This window comes from Homo sapiens, chromosome 6 (genome assembly GCF_000001405.40).
Source record: "Homo sapiens chromosome 6, GRCh38.p14 Primary Assembly".
NCBI classification, from domain to species: domain Eukaryota; kingdom Metazoa; phylum Chordata; class Mammalia; order Primates; family Hominidae; genus Homo; species Homo sapiens.
Genome location: NC_000006.12, coordinates 103,105,417 through 103,120,417, shown reverse-complemented (window position 1 = coordinate 103,120,417; position 15,001 = coordinate 103,105,417). Strand labels below are relative to the sequence as shown.

Sequence of the window (15,001 nt, the reverse complement as noted above, 5' to 3'; positions counted from 1 at the left end):
TAAAGTGACACTATAACTTATGATCAATGAATCCATAAATAATGAATCAAGTAGCATTTTGTTATATATTCACAAGTATGAAGTATATTTATTACCTATGGCACAAAGTGTGTTAAGAATACAAAAAATAGAAAAAATATGTTAAATAGTTTTAAATATATTGAAATTTTAATGAATATTAAATTTCAGGTGTCTTATAGTACTAAGCATTAGATTAGTTTAGGATAGGCCTTGTATAGAATGGAAGTCATTGTCCTCAGCTCACTGACAACATAATACATGTAGATCACCTAATAGTAATTATTAGGAATTTTAAGGAATTTTATAAAATAACTAAATAGATAATATTTTCAACTCCAAGTTTTTTAAAAAACAATATCTCATTATAGGTATAATTTTGTTATTCGCTTTATTCTGTCAATTAAAGAACTTAAGATCGTTTATAATATTATTTAAACGTACTGACATCTAAATGTTATTCTTGATTCTGTTATGCTAAAAGTCAAGTTGGGAAGAGACTATATAATCAAAATGAATTTTGTTTAAAATCTGAACTTTGTTATGACACAGAATGCCAGTTTAAATTTGACAATCTCATGTGAATTGTCATGAAAATGAGACAGTAATGAACATTACCAAAATGAAAATAAAATATATTTTGGCACTAAAGCTAAAGTATGTAAGATCTAGAATATGTAGACCAATCAAATATAGATCCCTAAGAAGGAAGGAAAATATCTCAGTGACAATTACTGTATTAATTTGAGAAAGGTGGCCACAGGCATAACTTCTGCAATTGAAACTTGAGTGAGAAATGACCAAGACTAAAAATAATAATTTTAATTTAAGAATAACAATAACATATGAAATAGCAATTATTAAGCAAAATGAAAGCAAGCCAAAAAGGTAACTGAATTTTATTAAGTGGAAAATAAAATATTTTAAGAATCCAAGCTGATGTCAAAATGTTATTTATCACATAATTACATATTGCCATCTGTATTAGCCTGGGTTCTCCAGAGAAACAGAACCAATAATATATGGACAGATATATCAGATAAGATTTATTATTAGAACTGGCTCATGTGATTGTGAAGGAGGAGAAGTCCCACAATATGCTATCTACAAGTAGGATAACCGGGAAAGCGATTGTGTAATTCAGTCTGAGTCCTAAGGCCTAAGAACCAGAGGAGCCAACAGTGTAATTCTCAGCCTAGGGCCAAAGGCCAGTCCTGGGGGTTGGAGAGGGCAGTGGTATCTGAGCCCAGGGCCAAATGCTAGTCCTGGGGGCTTGGAAAGCACAGTGGTGTCAATCTCAGAGTCTAAAAGTCTGAGAACGAAGAATTCTGATGTCTGAGGGCAGAAAAAGTTGGATGTCCTAGCTCAAAACAGAGAGAGAAAGAGAATTTGCCCTTCCTCTGCTGTTTTATGCTTTTTCAGGTCCTCAACAGATTGGATGATGCTCAAACACATTGGTGAGTGTGATCTTCTCTACTCAGTCTATCAGTTAAATGTTAATCTTTTCTAAAAACACTCTCATGGACACATCTAAAAATATTTTTTACCATCTATCTGGACATCCCTTAGGCTAGTCAAGTTAACACATAAACTTACCCATCCCACCATCTATACTGATTAAGTAGAAAAGTCCAATATGCAGATTCCAATACCTTTTAGCTTTAGTGCCAAAATATGTTTTCTTTTCATTTTGGTAATGTTGATCACTGTCTCATTTTCATGAAAATACACATGATTTTTCATATGAATTTTGGCTTATGATTATAATATGGAAAGCCAAAAATAGTATCACTTCTACTCTCAGAGCTACAAATCCTATAAACTGTCTGAAAATTCACAAGTTTTCTTAAATCTGTAAGAGGGTTGAGGTCACAGAGCTATGAATTATCTGAGCACTTATTTATCTGAAGCAGATAACATTGGCCCCTGGTTAAAATAATTCAGCTTAAAATATTAACATATTGCCAAAGGCCATGTCTAGTAAGAAAATATGGAATCACTGGGAGGCACAGGCACAAAGGGTATTAGCATCCACTTATGGGCTCATTCACATGGACATAATGTGTGCTCCTATAAAGATTGGGAGCAAGGTGAAAGCATTGAGAAACATACCTGGTTGCCCAGGCCTGGAAGGATGGGACAGAAGCCACCGAACAAAAACACAAGGAACCCTGCCTGGATACTTCCTACTGTCTCTCATATGGAAGAAAAACCTTAAATCACTTGTGGAAGAGCAACCAATGCTGGTACTCTTAGAATATTTGTGAAAACATATGGTTTCTGGGGAAAATTAAGATAGAAGAAATAAGTCTTGGTGTAAACCTTAACTTGCCCACAAAACACAGAGACAGAGTGACTGTCTTAAGAACAAAATTTCATCAAAACAAGAAAGAAAAAAATAGGAGGAAAAAAAGAAAAAAACAGAGTATCTAAGAACAGAGAGACAGGTCTAACATCTGTGTAGTTTGGAATGCTAAAAGACGACAGACAGAACGGGGTAGTGAAATATTTGAAAAAGTAGTGTCAACTTTTCCCCTAAATTAATGACAGACTCCTATTAAGAAACTCAGAAAATATCAAACAGAATGTCAAAAACAAGCACAAATACACACACACACACACACACACACACACACACACACACACAGAGACAGAGAGAGAGAGGGAGAGAAAGAGAGAGTCATATTATATTAAAACCGCCTTAAATGGAAGACAAAGAGAAAGACTTCATTGTGGCCAGACAAAAATATATTCATTACATACAGGTGAACAAATGGAAGAAATAAGGTGGACTTTTGATCAGAAATTATCCAAACCAGAACAAGAGGGAGTGACATTTTTAAGGTGATGAAAGAAAAAAAAAATAGCAAAACTGCCAAACCAATATCCTCTACTTGTATTAACCAGGGTTCTTCAGAGAAACAGAACTAGTAGGATATATGTGTAGATAAATGGAAAAAGATGTATTCTGAGGGATTGGCCTCTTGGGTATAAGGTTAAAAACTCCCACTATCTGCCCTCTGCAAGCTGGGGGCATTAAAGACAGTGGTATATTTCTAGGCCAAGCCTAGAGGCCCAAGAATCAGGAGAGATGATGTCTGAGGGCGGGAGAAGATGAATCTCCCAGCTCAAGCAAATTTGCCCTTTCTCCACCTCTTGTTCTGTTTGGGCCCTCAGTGAATTGGATGATGCCCATTCACATTGATAAGGGTAATTTTCTATAGTCAGTGTACCAATTCAAATGCTAATATCTACCAGAAATACCTTCACAGATATACCCCAAAATAATGTGTGGTCAGCTACCTGGGCATCCCTTAGCCCAGTCATGTTGACACTATACATTAACCATCACAAGTTCATCTCATGTCATTTTGGCACCTATATGCATCTCCTTAAACCATACTTAATTTTCAAATATAAATAATAACATGGTCATAATTTGACCTAACTGGATACAACTATCCTGCATAGAACTGAAAATGCACTAATTGCCTCTTGTATCAGCCATTTTGTATTCCCCTTGCCTTTTGCAAGCCCCTCAGCTGTCATGGTTCTTTACCTGGCAAGGTGGCACAAACCTTCATGCCTGAAGGGTCTGGGCCTTTAGTAGTCCTGCCTGGCTACTGTAGTTTTTCCTTGACTTTAATCACAGGGAATGGTAACATTAAGACACATCTTAAAGGATATCCTGTATTCAGGCATATTCTTCCTTACCTTCATTGTGGAGTAATAGTTTAATTAATGTTTGGTAGTTAAGATCAATCGCTCCAGTCAACACCATAACTCACTTCTTTGCCTGTTGATTCAGAGGCATGAGGATCCCAAAGTGGTCAGGTGGAAGTTTTAACCTCCAATTCAATCAAATCATTGTGTGTCTCTCAGTAAAAGCACTCCTCCTGAAGCCTACTCTTAGGCCAATAGATCATAAAGTCATAAAAACAGGAAGCAAACATTTTGCTTGTCGGTGAATGGGGTGATAATGAGCAGTGCCACTGTCATTGCCACCACTTAATTCCTGAACTATTAACACGCTTAAAGAAACAAGTGAAAAAAGGAACAAAAACAAAAAATAAAACTGAAATTACTATTCTCTACTCAACACACACATATTTCAAGAATAAAGAGAAAATAAAGACTCTCTCAAGTAATCAAACATTGAGAAGAATCACTGACAATAGACCTACATCTCAATACATGTTAAAGAAAAGTCTTCAGGAAGAAGAAATATGATATAAATGAGAAACAGGCATCTACAAAAGGAAATAAAAAGCTAGAAATGGAATAAAGGAAAATGTCAATTTTATTTTTCTCTTATCTTTAATCACACTAAAAGATAAATGTATTAGTCTATTTGTGTTGCTATAAAATAATACATGACTCTGAGTAATTTATAAATAAGAGAGGATTATTTGGCTCACAATTCTGTAGACTATAGAGGAAGCATGGTGCTGGCATCTGCTTAGCTTCTGGTGAAGTCTCAGGAAGCTTTCACTCATGGCAGACGGCAAAGGGGGAGCAGGCATGTCACACGGCGAAGTGGGAGCAAGCAAGAGAGAGCAAGAGGTGAAACAACCATCACTTTTAAACAATCAACTCTTGCGTGAACTAATAGAATCAGAACTTAATCACTGCTGTGAGGACAGCGCCAAGATATTCATGAGGGATGCCCCCCTATGACTCAAACACCTCCCACCAGGCCCATCTCTAATTTTGGGGATCACATTTCAACATGAGATTTGGAGGGAACAAACATCCAAAGCATATAATACCGATTGTCTAAAACAAAGGTAGTAGCAATAGATTGTGAGTTTGTAATATACATAAATATTAAATGTACAACAAAAATGGGAGAGAGAAAATGGGAGTAGACTGCTGTAAGTCTGTCAGACAACAGAAAAGCACTAGAACCAATAAATGAGCTTGGTAAGGTTGGAGTATACAAAATCAATATGTAAAAAATCAATTTTATATCTATGTGCTAATAATGAAAGATTGAATATTGAAAATTTTCTAAAATACCATTTACTGTAGCACCAAAAGGAGGAGTTTAAGTGTAAAGGTTTGGTATTGATTTTGTTTCCTAACAATTCCTAAAATACAGGTACACCTTTGCCTCATTCTTTCTTGGGAATATGTTTATTTTGCTTTTAACATAAGGTATGGAATGGCTTTTTCTCACTTTTTGCTTAAGGAAGTAGAAAATTAAACTTTAACTGCTGAAAACAGAATAATCACACATTAGGGAATTGGGGATTTCAATGTTTCAGGTGTTTTAGAAAAGCCTTAATAATCTGAAGTTTCACATGCTCATTTACATAACACATGGGTTCTAATACTGTTGAGGTTCACTTATTCCACATACTGAACACTAACAGCAGCATGTGCATATTTTTGAGATATCAGATGTATAATCTTGGAATGGTATTGAAATACTAAATGCATTTAAATGAACTAAAATGATTCAAGGAGAGCATATTGCACTTACAACACTTATACTCTATGCTATGGGCTTCTAAAAAGAGGTGGGTGTGATGCTGTGAAGAAAAGCAATTCCATTCTCAGTAGGTTATCACAGTGTATTTTCAGAAGTTTCTAATTGAAGGCATGCTTCATTTGCCTTGGCTATAAAAAAAACCCACATTTGCTCATGATTATGTCTGTAAATGCCCTCATAAAATGTACTCTAGCAAACACACCCACACACTTGCATATGCACACACACACATGCCTATACACACATTTTACAATTTACTTGGAAATGCTTTCGTGTAGATTACACTTCTTATTCCTTGTGTGGTTTTTCTGATATTACTAAGAGGATAGAAAAGTTAAATATTAATATAAAGTAATTTAAATATTCTGAACCATATCAAAAATCCTGAATTATGGTTTATGAATTTAATTTTAAAATAAAAATTTAATTTAATAGGAAAATGTCAAAAAGAATTGCCTAAATTATGTACTCCATATCTTGATTTTTTAAAAATCAATGATTCAATTTTTTAATGCTGTTAATTGCTTTGTTTAGATATTCTTGAAAACATTGATATTCTCCCCCATACACAGGTATACACACATGCATACATACAAGAAAACAGATAAAGTGTATTAGATATCTATGTTCAATGTATCTTTTCATCCTGTAACTTTCTATTCCTTATTGCTTTCTTATAAAGGAATAAGAGGTGTATAATAACACACTCATATTTTCAAGATAGTTGTATGGGATAATAGTTACTGTTATAGAAGAATATAGGACTGAATTACAAACTGCCTATTAGTGGTGCCTTTAGAAACAAAGATCATCATGTCAATTGCTGGTATTCAGTGTCTTCTCTTCTAGCCCCAGGAAGCTAGAGAACACCAGAGAGTAAAATAGTCACCCCCTTGAGGTCATTCTCATCACATGAGCTGCAATTCTTAATAACTTCTACCTAACAAACTCTACTTTCATGAATCCCACCCATTTTAAGATGCAAAAACTTATTTCAAAAATCGGAGGTTATCTCAGGCTTTGTGGTCATAGAGACATATGCCAAGACCTTAGATATTCCATTTAATATGCTATGTGATATTGAACAAAGATTCATCAGGTGAAAACTACAAAGTCACTGAATGAAGTAGCACAACAATAGGAGTAGAATGATTGGTCCGTAATGACTAATAAATAGTGAACTTAGTATTACCATAAAATTACCATTTTTTAGAGAGAGAGAACTTTGTTAGAACATAGGTTTCCTCTGTGTGTTATACTTTACAGATGATTAGTCATGCCTTTCAAAATATAGAGGTGTCCAAAATCAAGTCCAAACAAGCCTTAAGACCTTAATAACTGCAGGCAGTGCAATAGCTGAACATCTTTTAAACTCATCAAGAGTAGAGGGAGAGGGGGATGTACATCACACAAGAAGCAAAGCCAAAAGTGAATATTTCACATTGAAACCTACAACAAGGGTGGTTTATATCACTCTTAAATTATTCACTTATTTATTATTTCAATAACTATATTATCTATTGTAGTTTTAGCACCATTCTTGACAGACTTTGAAGACACAGTGCTGAATATTCAAGGGGCCTCTGCTCTTGTGAATTGCATGAATACAGATCTGCAGAAATAAATTATTTTGTTGAAGTTATTTCATGTATTAGTTTTTAAGTGTATGCTCCTCTCTAATAAATAAATAATTATAACAATTTTAGATGGTTGTAAAAGAAAATAAGAGCCGGAAAGTTGGTAAAATGAAAAAAAGGAAAAGGAGATCATAAACACGAGACTTGATCATATTCTGAATATAAAGAAGTAGAATAGAGCTGCCAACTGAGGTTTGTGGTTCATGCATTATTACACATATAGCTAATGCAGAGTATTTTCATTCATTCACATAATTAACATGTGTGCCATTAATGGCAATAGTAATTCAAGAGAAAGAAAATAGAAGATTAGAGCTGCACAGTCCAATAAAATCGCTATTTGCTACATCTGGCTACTTAAATTTAAATAAAATAAAACTAAAACTTTAGTTTCTCAGTCACACTAGCACATTTCAAGTGCTTAGTATCGAAATTCTGCTAATGGGTGCCATATTGAACCACACAAACACATACTATTTCCACCTATATGGAAATTTCTATTGGACATTGCTGCTTGACAGTTTTAAGTGTCAACAGGAACTGCCAGGGATAATATCTTAAAGTGTTCTGAAACTCAGAAAAAAGGCTATGATTATTGATAAATAATGTAAAACAATAAATATGAGAAAACATCTAAAAGGTGAATATCGAATTTCAGGCAGGAGGATTAAGTACAAATGTCTACACGTTGCAATAGTCAGTAGGAAAAGGTAGAAATCATGAATGAGATGATATGAAAAAATACAAAATATTTTGAGAGCAAAAAGAGAACAAAAGAAAGAAGTTTCTAAAGGATTAGACAGTCTTAAAAATAAATAAACAGCTAAATAATAAAAAACTAATAGTTATTGGAGACTAACAATCAAGAAAAAGATGACTACATTGGTGAATTAATACCTCTAATATATTTGTGTCTGCAATTGGAGTACTTTTCTTAAATAAGAGAAGTTGTAAATGAGAAAAACTTGGACTGGACCTTAAAATATTTATTTGAATAGTAATATATTTTAAATTATTTTGATTCATAATGGGAAATGAAATGGGAGACATGTAATTGAGCATGGTTCAGATTATATATTCAGCAGAAGATTAAAGAGCCATGCCTGGGCAATGGTTAATCTAGTCACCTGAATATATCTATATCTTCTGTATACATGTTACACACACATATGCATATACAAATGCACACACATACATATAGAGGTTCCAAGTGTAAGATAATTAGACTCCTTGGAGTCCCCAATGTACCTCTGTGTAAGGAATAATATAGCATTACTATATATCACCTCAAAGTATCTTTCTGCACAACATAATTCTCTGAAAGAAGTTCACTACTAGTGCCAGGACTATACCATATAAAACGGCAGTAAAAATGCCACTTTTGAGATTGCTTATAAATTCTTGGGAACAAATGATTCCCTATTAAGCTACAGTTTAGCAAGAGCATTGATGAGACACCAACTAACAAGCAGAATCACCAGTATTTATCTTGGATTATGAATATTTATCTTGGCAAAGAGTGGCTGTGCCAAGACTATAACATCGTAGAGGGTCTGGCCTTACAGAAACCAATGATTAGCAGGCAAGGCTGACTTAGAAATTGTAAAATTAGTTGTATGCAACCAGGTTTTTTAGAACAATTTTTTTTAATGGTTTTCCCTAAAAACCATTCTGAAAACACATCAGTGATTCTCACTGAACTGCAATTTCACTAAGGAAGTTTTCCTGATCCTCTCTTCTTGTCGTTGATAGTGTTGGTGATGGTCTTCTGCTGATGACTCCAGAGAAGAGGAAGAAGGACATTATATATTTAGCCTCATCTGGAGTCCATATCATTCCAGCACTTAATGGCAGTGTCACCAAGTCTACCCTATCTTACTAGCCTCTGCCAGACTAAACCAACAAATCTATAATGAGAATACTTGATTTTTTTTAACTCGAGTGTTAGGTAGATTTTAAGTGTTTAGTACAGTGTGACAGACAGAAACGTTGTAACTCTCTTTAGATTGAGACTGCCTTGTATTGTAGAAAGCAGACATCGCCATATTACAATCATCTGGTTGAAGATAGGAGGTGCTCTGCATGAACGAACTACCTCTAATGATCCCAATCATTCTGACTAATGAGGATCCTTCAACTCCTCTTTCCTTCTGCCTGTACTCCTTTCAATATTTTTCAGTCTGTTGTGTTCAGACTGAAACCTTGCTCTCTTGCTCTCTGGAATGAATTTCTCTACCATGAAGATATAATTTTGCCTCTTGATTCTCTGAGCATCATGACCTGGAACAGAAGTTCAGACATAAATAAATGAAGTTCCAACTGGCAGACTCCATGAAGGGAAGATGGGCTCCAGTCCTGTGATGGGGTAAATGGATTGTTCAACTCTAGTTGAGTCTTACCTCAGAAGAGCCAAGTCTGCATTTCTTGTAGATTATGTAAGAAGTAAATACAAACACAGATCTGCAAGACAAACTTTTTAACCCTTGTTACGTTAGACCTTTTCAGTAAATTTTAGAAGCTATTGACACATTTTTGCTTTTCTGTCTTGTAATACAGTACAAAATAAACCATTTTAGCTACAAATGGCTTTCTCTTTAGTATATAAATTTATGCTAGTGGTATGAGATTATGTAAAACATCCTCTTTCTCTGATGCAAATTGGGTAGAAACATTGATAATGTGGTTCAAGTAAAATATTATATGTAAACAAATAATCATGACACACTGCATAGGCAGTCAAGAAAAAGATAGCAAAGGTATTGAATAATCACCTAACAAACTTATATTTGTATTACATTTGATCTTTATATCAGAAAATTTAGAGTTCTTATAGTGGCAGGGACATTAATTTTCAGAACTAAGTTTCTGTAATAATTTCATTGGCTACACTGTGGCAGGTTGAAATATAAATATATTAAATGAAACCTGAAATCACATTTTTAAATGGAAAACTTTATATTAGTTAAAGTTTGCTTTTAAAAAAGCCAACTAGTTGTGAACTTAAATATCCATTGTTTCCTTTTTCTTTAATAATAGAACACAAGATTTTTAGCTGAACACATAGTTGTCTCAAATAAACAGTACAACTCCCCAGCTTCCCTTGCAGCTACTTAAACTCATGTTCATGGGTTATGGGAGTTGCATGCGGAAGTTTCATGCTTATTTGTAAGAAATGCCCTTATATAAAGATTCATACTCTTCTTTGGTCTGAACACATTCCTACTGAATGAAATATATGTGTGAGGAGTACAACTAGAATTGCCATATCAGATTATGAAGAGCACTCTGAAGACTGCAAAGCAGTTAGATGATAAGTCCATCTAGACTGCAACTGCTGTACTAATGCTGCAGTGTGTAGTTTAGTACTGATTTACATGAGATATTTTCTGTTGCGTGAGTCCATGTCATTTGTGATTTTCTGTTAAGTACAGTTGCACCTAATTGTAAAAGTGCTATAAGTTGTAATCACATCTTGACCAAGAACTTAAATATCACAAATAATAAAGTGATACAAGAGACAACATTTTGTCTCTGAAAAATGTAACCTATTTTATGACACTTTAAAAAAGAAAAGATGGGAATTGTGAGTACCATGTAGTGTACCTGACTTTTGTCAGTGGTTAAACATTCATTTTTGAAAAATGTGTTGTTTTTCTATCAATTGCTCAATAAATACATGGTTTTATTGTTTATGCTATTTAGATTTTTGCTAAGCAATATAAGAGCAAGAGGTACAAAATATTTGGGGTTTTTGTTTTGTTTTGTTTTTGAGATGGAGTGTCGCTCTGTCTCCCAGGCTGGAGTGCAGTGGCACCATCTTGGCTCATTGCAACCTCTGCCTCCTGGGTTCAAGTGATTCTCCTACCTCAGTCTCCCGACTAGCTGGGATTACAGGCATGCCCCGCCACACCCAGCTAACTTTTGTATTTTTAGTAGAGACGGAGTTTTGTCATCTTGGCCAGGCTGGTCTCAAACTCCTGACCTTAGGTGATCTGCCTGCCTCAGTCTCCCAAAGTGCTGGGATTACAGGTGTGAGCCAACACACCTGGCCGATATTTTGGTTTTTAATAAGGTTACTCTGTCTTTGAACAGCAGCCTTTACTTCACCAGCTGTGTACTCTAAAGCTGTTTACTTTGCCTGTCTGAGCCTCAGTTTCCTCAGAAGTAGGATGAAGATAGTAATAATACTTCACAAAGCTGTTGTGAGACTTAAATATGATATAAAATAAAAAGCTGTTAATATTTTACCAGACATCAAGATCATATTTAAAACTTTCATTATTGTAATGATGAAAATGAATACAGAAATGATCAATACATGAGATAAGACTACATTTGAAATGTACCACACATTTTATTTCTCACATTAATGTATTTAGATATTTATTTCACGTAAACTTCAAAATAGAACAAAAAATAAAGAATATCTTGGTCATGTGCATCAAAATGAGCTTAAAGGTAAATCTTATATTGAGTTAAGTTCTGGGAACTATAAAGGGTTAAACAATGAAGTGTAATCTAATCTAAGTGAAGTGAGTGCTTCTGCAAAATTATATTTACTCCAATTATTTTTCAGTATCCCTTCTTAAAATCTAATGGGTCAGGATTAATATAATAATTCTAGTACAATTTAGGAAACTTAGGTTTTCTAGGTTTCCCGCCTGGAGTCGGACTGTGTACAAACTAACTTATTTACTGGAGACAACCTGTTAACTAGAATTAATATAGCAATTGGCATTTTCATATGATATTTTTCTAAATTCAATAAGATATAATCAATTGATTTTAAAAAACAAGCTTTATCATTTTAGACATATTTGGAAATTTATTTCTGACTTGATTGTAGGAAAATTAGGTTTGTCAAGTCACAGAGTTCATGAGCACATCAACTAACCCAAGCAATCATGGTTACCAACAGTACAACATATGCAACTTAATGACACAATTTGCCAAAAATTACAAAAACTGAATCCCTGCTGAACTCTCTTAAGTGGGGTACCTAACTTCAGATGCTTTTGGTTTGCATAATGGCTTCCCACATGAAATAAGATAATAAGAAGCAGAAAAGACTCACAAGCAAGGCTTGACTTGTTCCAACTGCTTGTGAATTAAAAACAGCTGTGGACAGTAGGAGGTTGGTCTCTACTTAAATAAAATGTTGGCAACATAGATAATGATATCTCTTTCTTGAAACAAAATGTTAAGAATCATTAAAAGAGAAGTAAAGGACTTATAAACATTACCAAGCACTTTCAGTGAGGTAGTTATATTTTAGGAATATTTAAATTTTTCAATCCCTTGATTTCATTTTCTGTACTAGTCATTTTCTAAATTATATTTAAATCATTGCAAATATCACACAAATTTGAGCTCCTTTCTTTTTTGCAAATAAAGTTTTGAACCATGATTAATGTAAATTAACCATAGTTACATGCCGGAAACAGAGCAACATCTGATTTGTAAACAACATTCAAGTTTAATTGAGCTGTGAATATTATAAGTAATACTGGTAAGCACTAACCTGTCAAGAATAGAAGCAGATCTTCCAAAACATAAGCAATGAATACAATCATAACAGACAGTTGTGTCTGTGTGCTTTGTCTGTGCCTGTTTAAATAAATATCAAACAAGTTTGTATGATATTTGCAATGATTTACATAGACATAGACAAAGTGCATAGACACGTGCTTTCCCATTTCTAATATATATAATATATAAATGTATTATATTATTACATAATAATAGGGAATATTTGTGGACTGTCTTGTCTTTTGGTATCAATAATTTCAGAAATAAGATCTTTGGAAAGTTGTTCCTAATCATTTCAAAAATTAATGCATAACACAATTGTCTGTTATGATTGTATTCATTGCTTACATTTTGGAAGATCTGCTTCTATTCTCGGCAGGCGTGTGCCTACCAGTATTATTAATAATATTCACAGCTCAATGAAACTTGAATGTTGCTTACAAATCAGATGTTGCTCTGTTTCTGGCATGTAACAAAGAAATAGAGGACAGCATCTTGCAAACTGAAACAGAGAATGTTTTTCAAGGGATTAATAGCAGTCACTGGTTTCATGATTCAATAATTCATGATCACAGACAAAAAGGACAATTTTCCATCTCTTACTTTTTTTCCTCAGTTGTTAAAAATGTACCCATGAAAAGGTAACTTATCTTTTAGAACGTTTTTTTAAAAATTTACAATATATGCACTATGAAAATGTAATATTCATGAAAGAGAAAAAAAGGACACTATAATTAATAAATAGTACATTGTCTTTTCACTGACTTTACATTCAATTTTAGAAGAGGCAGGATCGTAGGGACAGAACTGGATGGGAGATGGATATCTTAGCTGTAGCTTGTTAGGAGTCACTAACCAGCTCTCAGATGCTGGAAAACATCTCTGCATGATTTCATTTTCTCAATAAAAGTTTGACACGAAGTCTTGGAATTAAGAATTTTAAGAGTCCAAAGGCTAATTTAAATTTTTCAAAACACCTGATTTGTAAAACAATTACTCATCAGGAAATTATGTCAACAAAAACAAAGAATCTTTGTATTTTGAGGAGTCTATGTCAATCCACTTTAGCAGCATGAATTATATCACTCTGAAGATAGTTGAAAATTTAATTGACAATATGTACCTATACAGACATACATATGTATATTGTGTATGCATTTGCACATGTATATTTGTGTGTGTGCATGCACACGCATGTCATTTCTGTGTTTCTGTGCAACACAACTTCATTTCCTGGAATATATGGTATAGAAAGTGGAAGGTAGGATTTTTTTTTATTAAAAAGTTTAGAACAATTTTGAAGGATGATCACTGTATTCCTAATATATTTCACTTCTAGAATCTCTTCCCTGCTCCCACCTCCCGATTTCAATTATCACCTCAATGCTAACATGCCTTAAATATATAACTTTCTTTGGTTCTGTCTCATATTTCAAACTGTGTACTGAACATTTTAAGTCTGTAACCTTATTATCACCTCAAAGATATCTGCTCTGTTTTCTTTCTTATTATCCCTTCCTTTCCTCTTTCAAAGAGGCCACTATTTTAGTGGTTGCTTTGGCTAAAAATTTCGCAAACGATTTTGCTGTTTTTGATGGAAGTATAACATCATATACACACAAAATTGTACAACTTGATTAATTTACCCAAAGTGAAAAGAGCACAAAATTATCACCCAGATTAAGAAGCAGAAAGCAGGGAGATTTGTGAAGGCCCTGAAAGCCAGGGAATGTGGAAATTGAATCACTAACACATAATCGCCCCCATATTGAGAGGTCTTTATTCTGCATGGAAAGCTTAGTTTGTCAATGTGAGAAGAGCAGACGAAGCTGGGAGAGTGCTTCACAATGGAAGGTGAGATTCCCAGTTTAGAGCTTAAAGGCAACTTCAGTGAGAGGTAGGCTGGGCCTTGTTACCAATTGAGAGCACCTTTTCCAGGACAAAACCTGCACCAATGAGAAACTGCTAAGAACAGAATTTAAATTGGGCAGGACAGAGACATTAAAGACAAGACAAGAGAATATCCAGATAGAGAGTGGAGAGAGGAGCAGACTAGGTAAATCTCAAGAAATCAAAGTTAGATTTTTTAACATTTCTTGATAAGAGCAGGAAGGAGTCCTTATTGTCGGTGTAAGTTAAATAGCACTACTTTAGAAATAAAAACACAGCAGAAAGACATGCCCACGCAATGTAAATATTTTAGCCTCACAGTTTAATATGAAATGAAATAACTTTAGGAAAATTCTAGAACGATTTATGAAAAAACAGAGAGTTATTAAACCTTGGTCTTAGCTTCATAGTCACCCTGCTGTACTCTGCTTTA

At 34.1% G+C, this 15,001-nt stretch overlaps 1 annotated feature.

Annotated features, from left to right (window-relative positions):
• Positions 14,173-14,674: an enhancer, noted in NCBI's record as "NANOG hESC enhancer chr6:103553619-103554120 (GRCh37/hg19 assembly coordinates)". NCBI's record gives its function as "activates a minimal SCP1, AML or CMV promoter by ChIP-STARR-seq in primed H9 embryonic stem cells {active_cell/tissue: H9 hESC(primed)}" and the evidence as "EXISTENCE:reporter gene assay evidence [ECO:0000049][PMID:30033119]".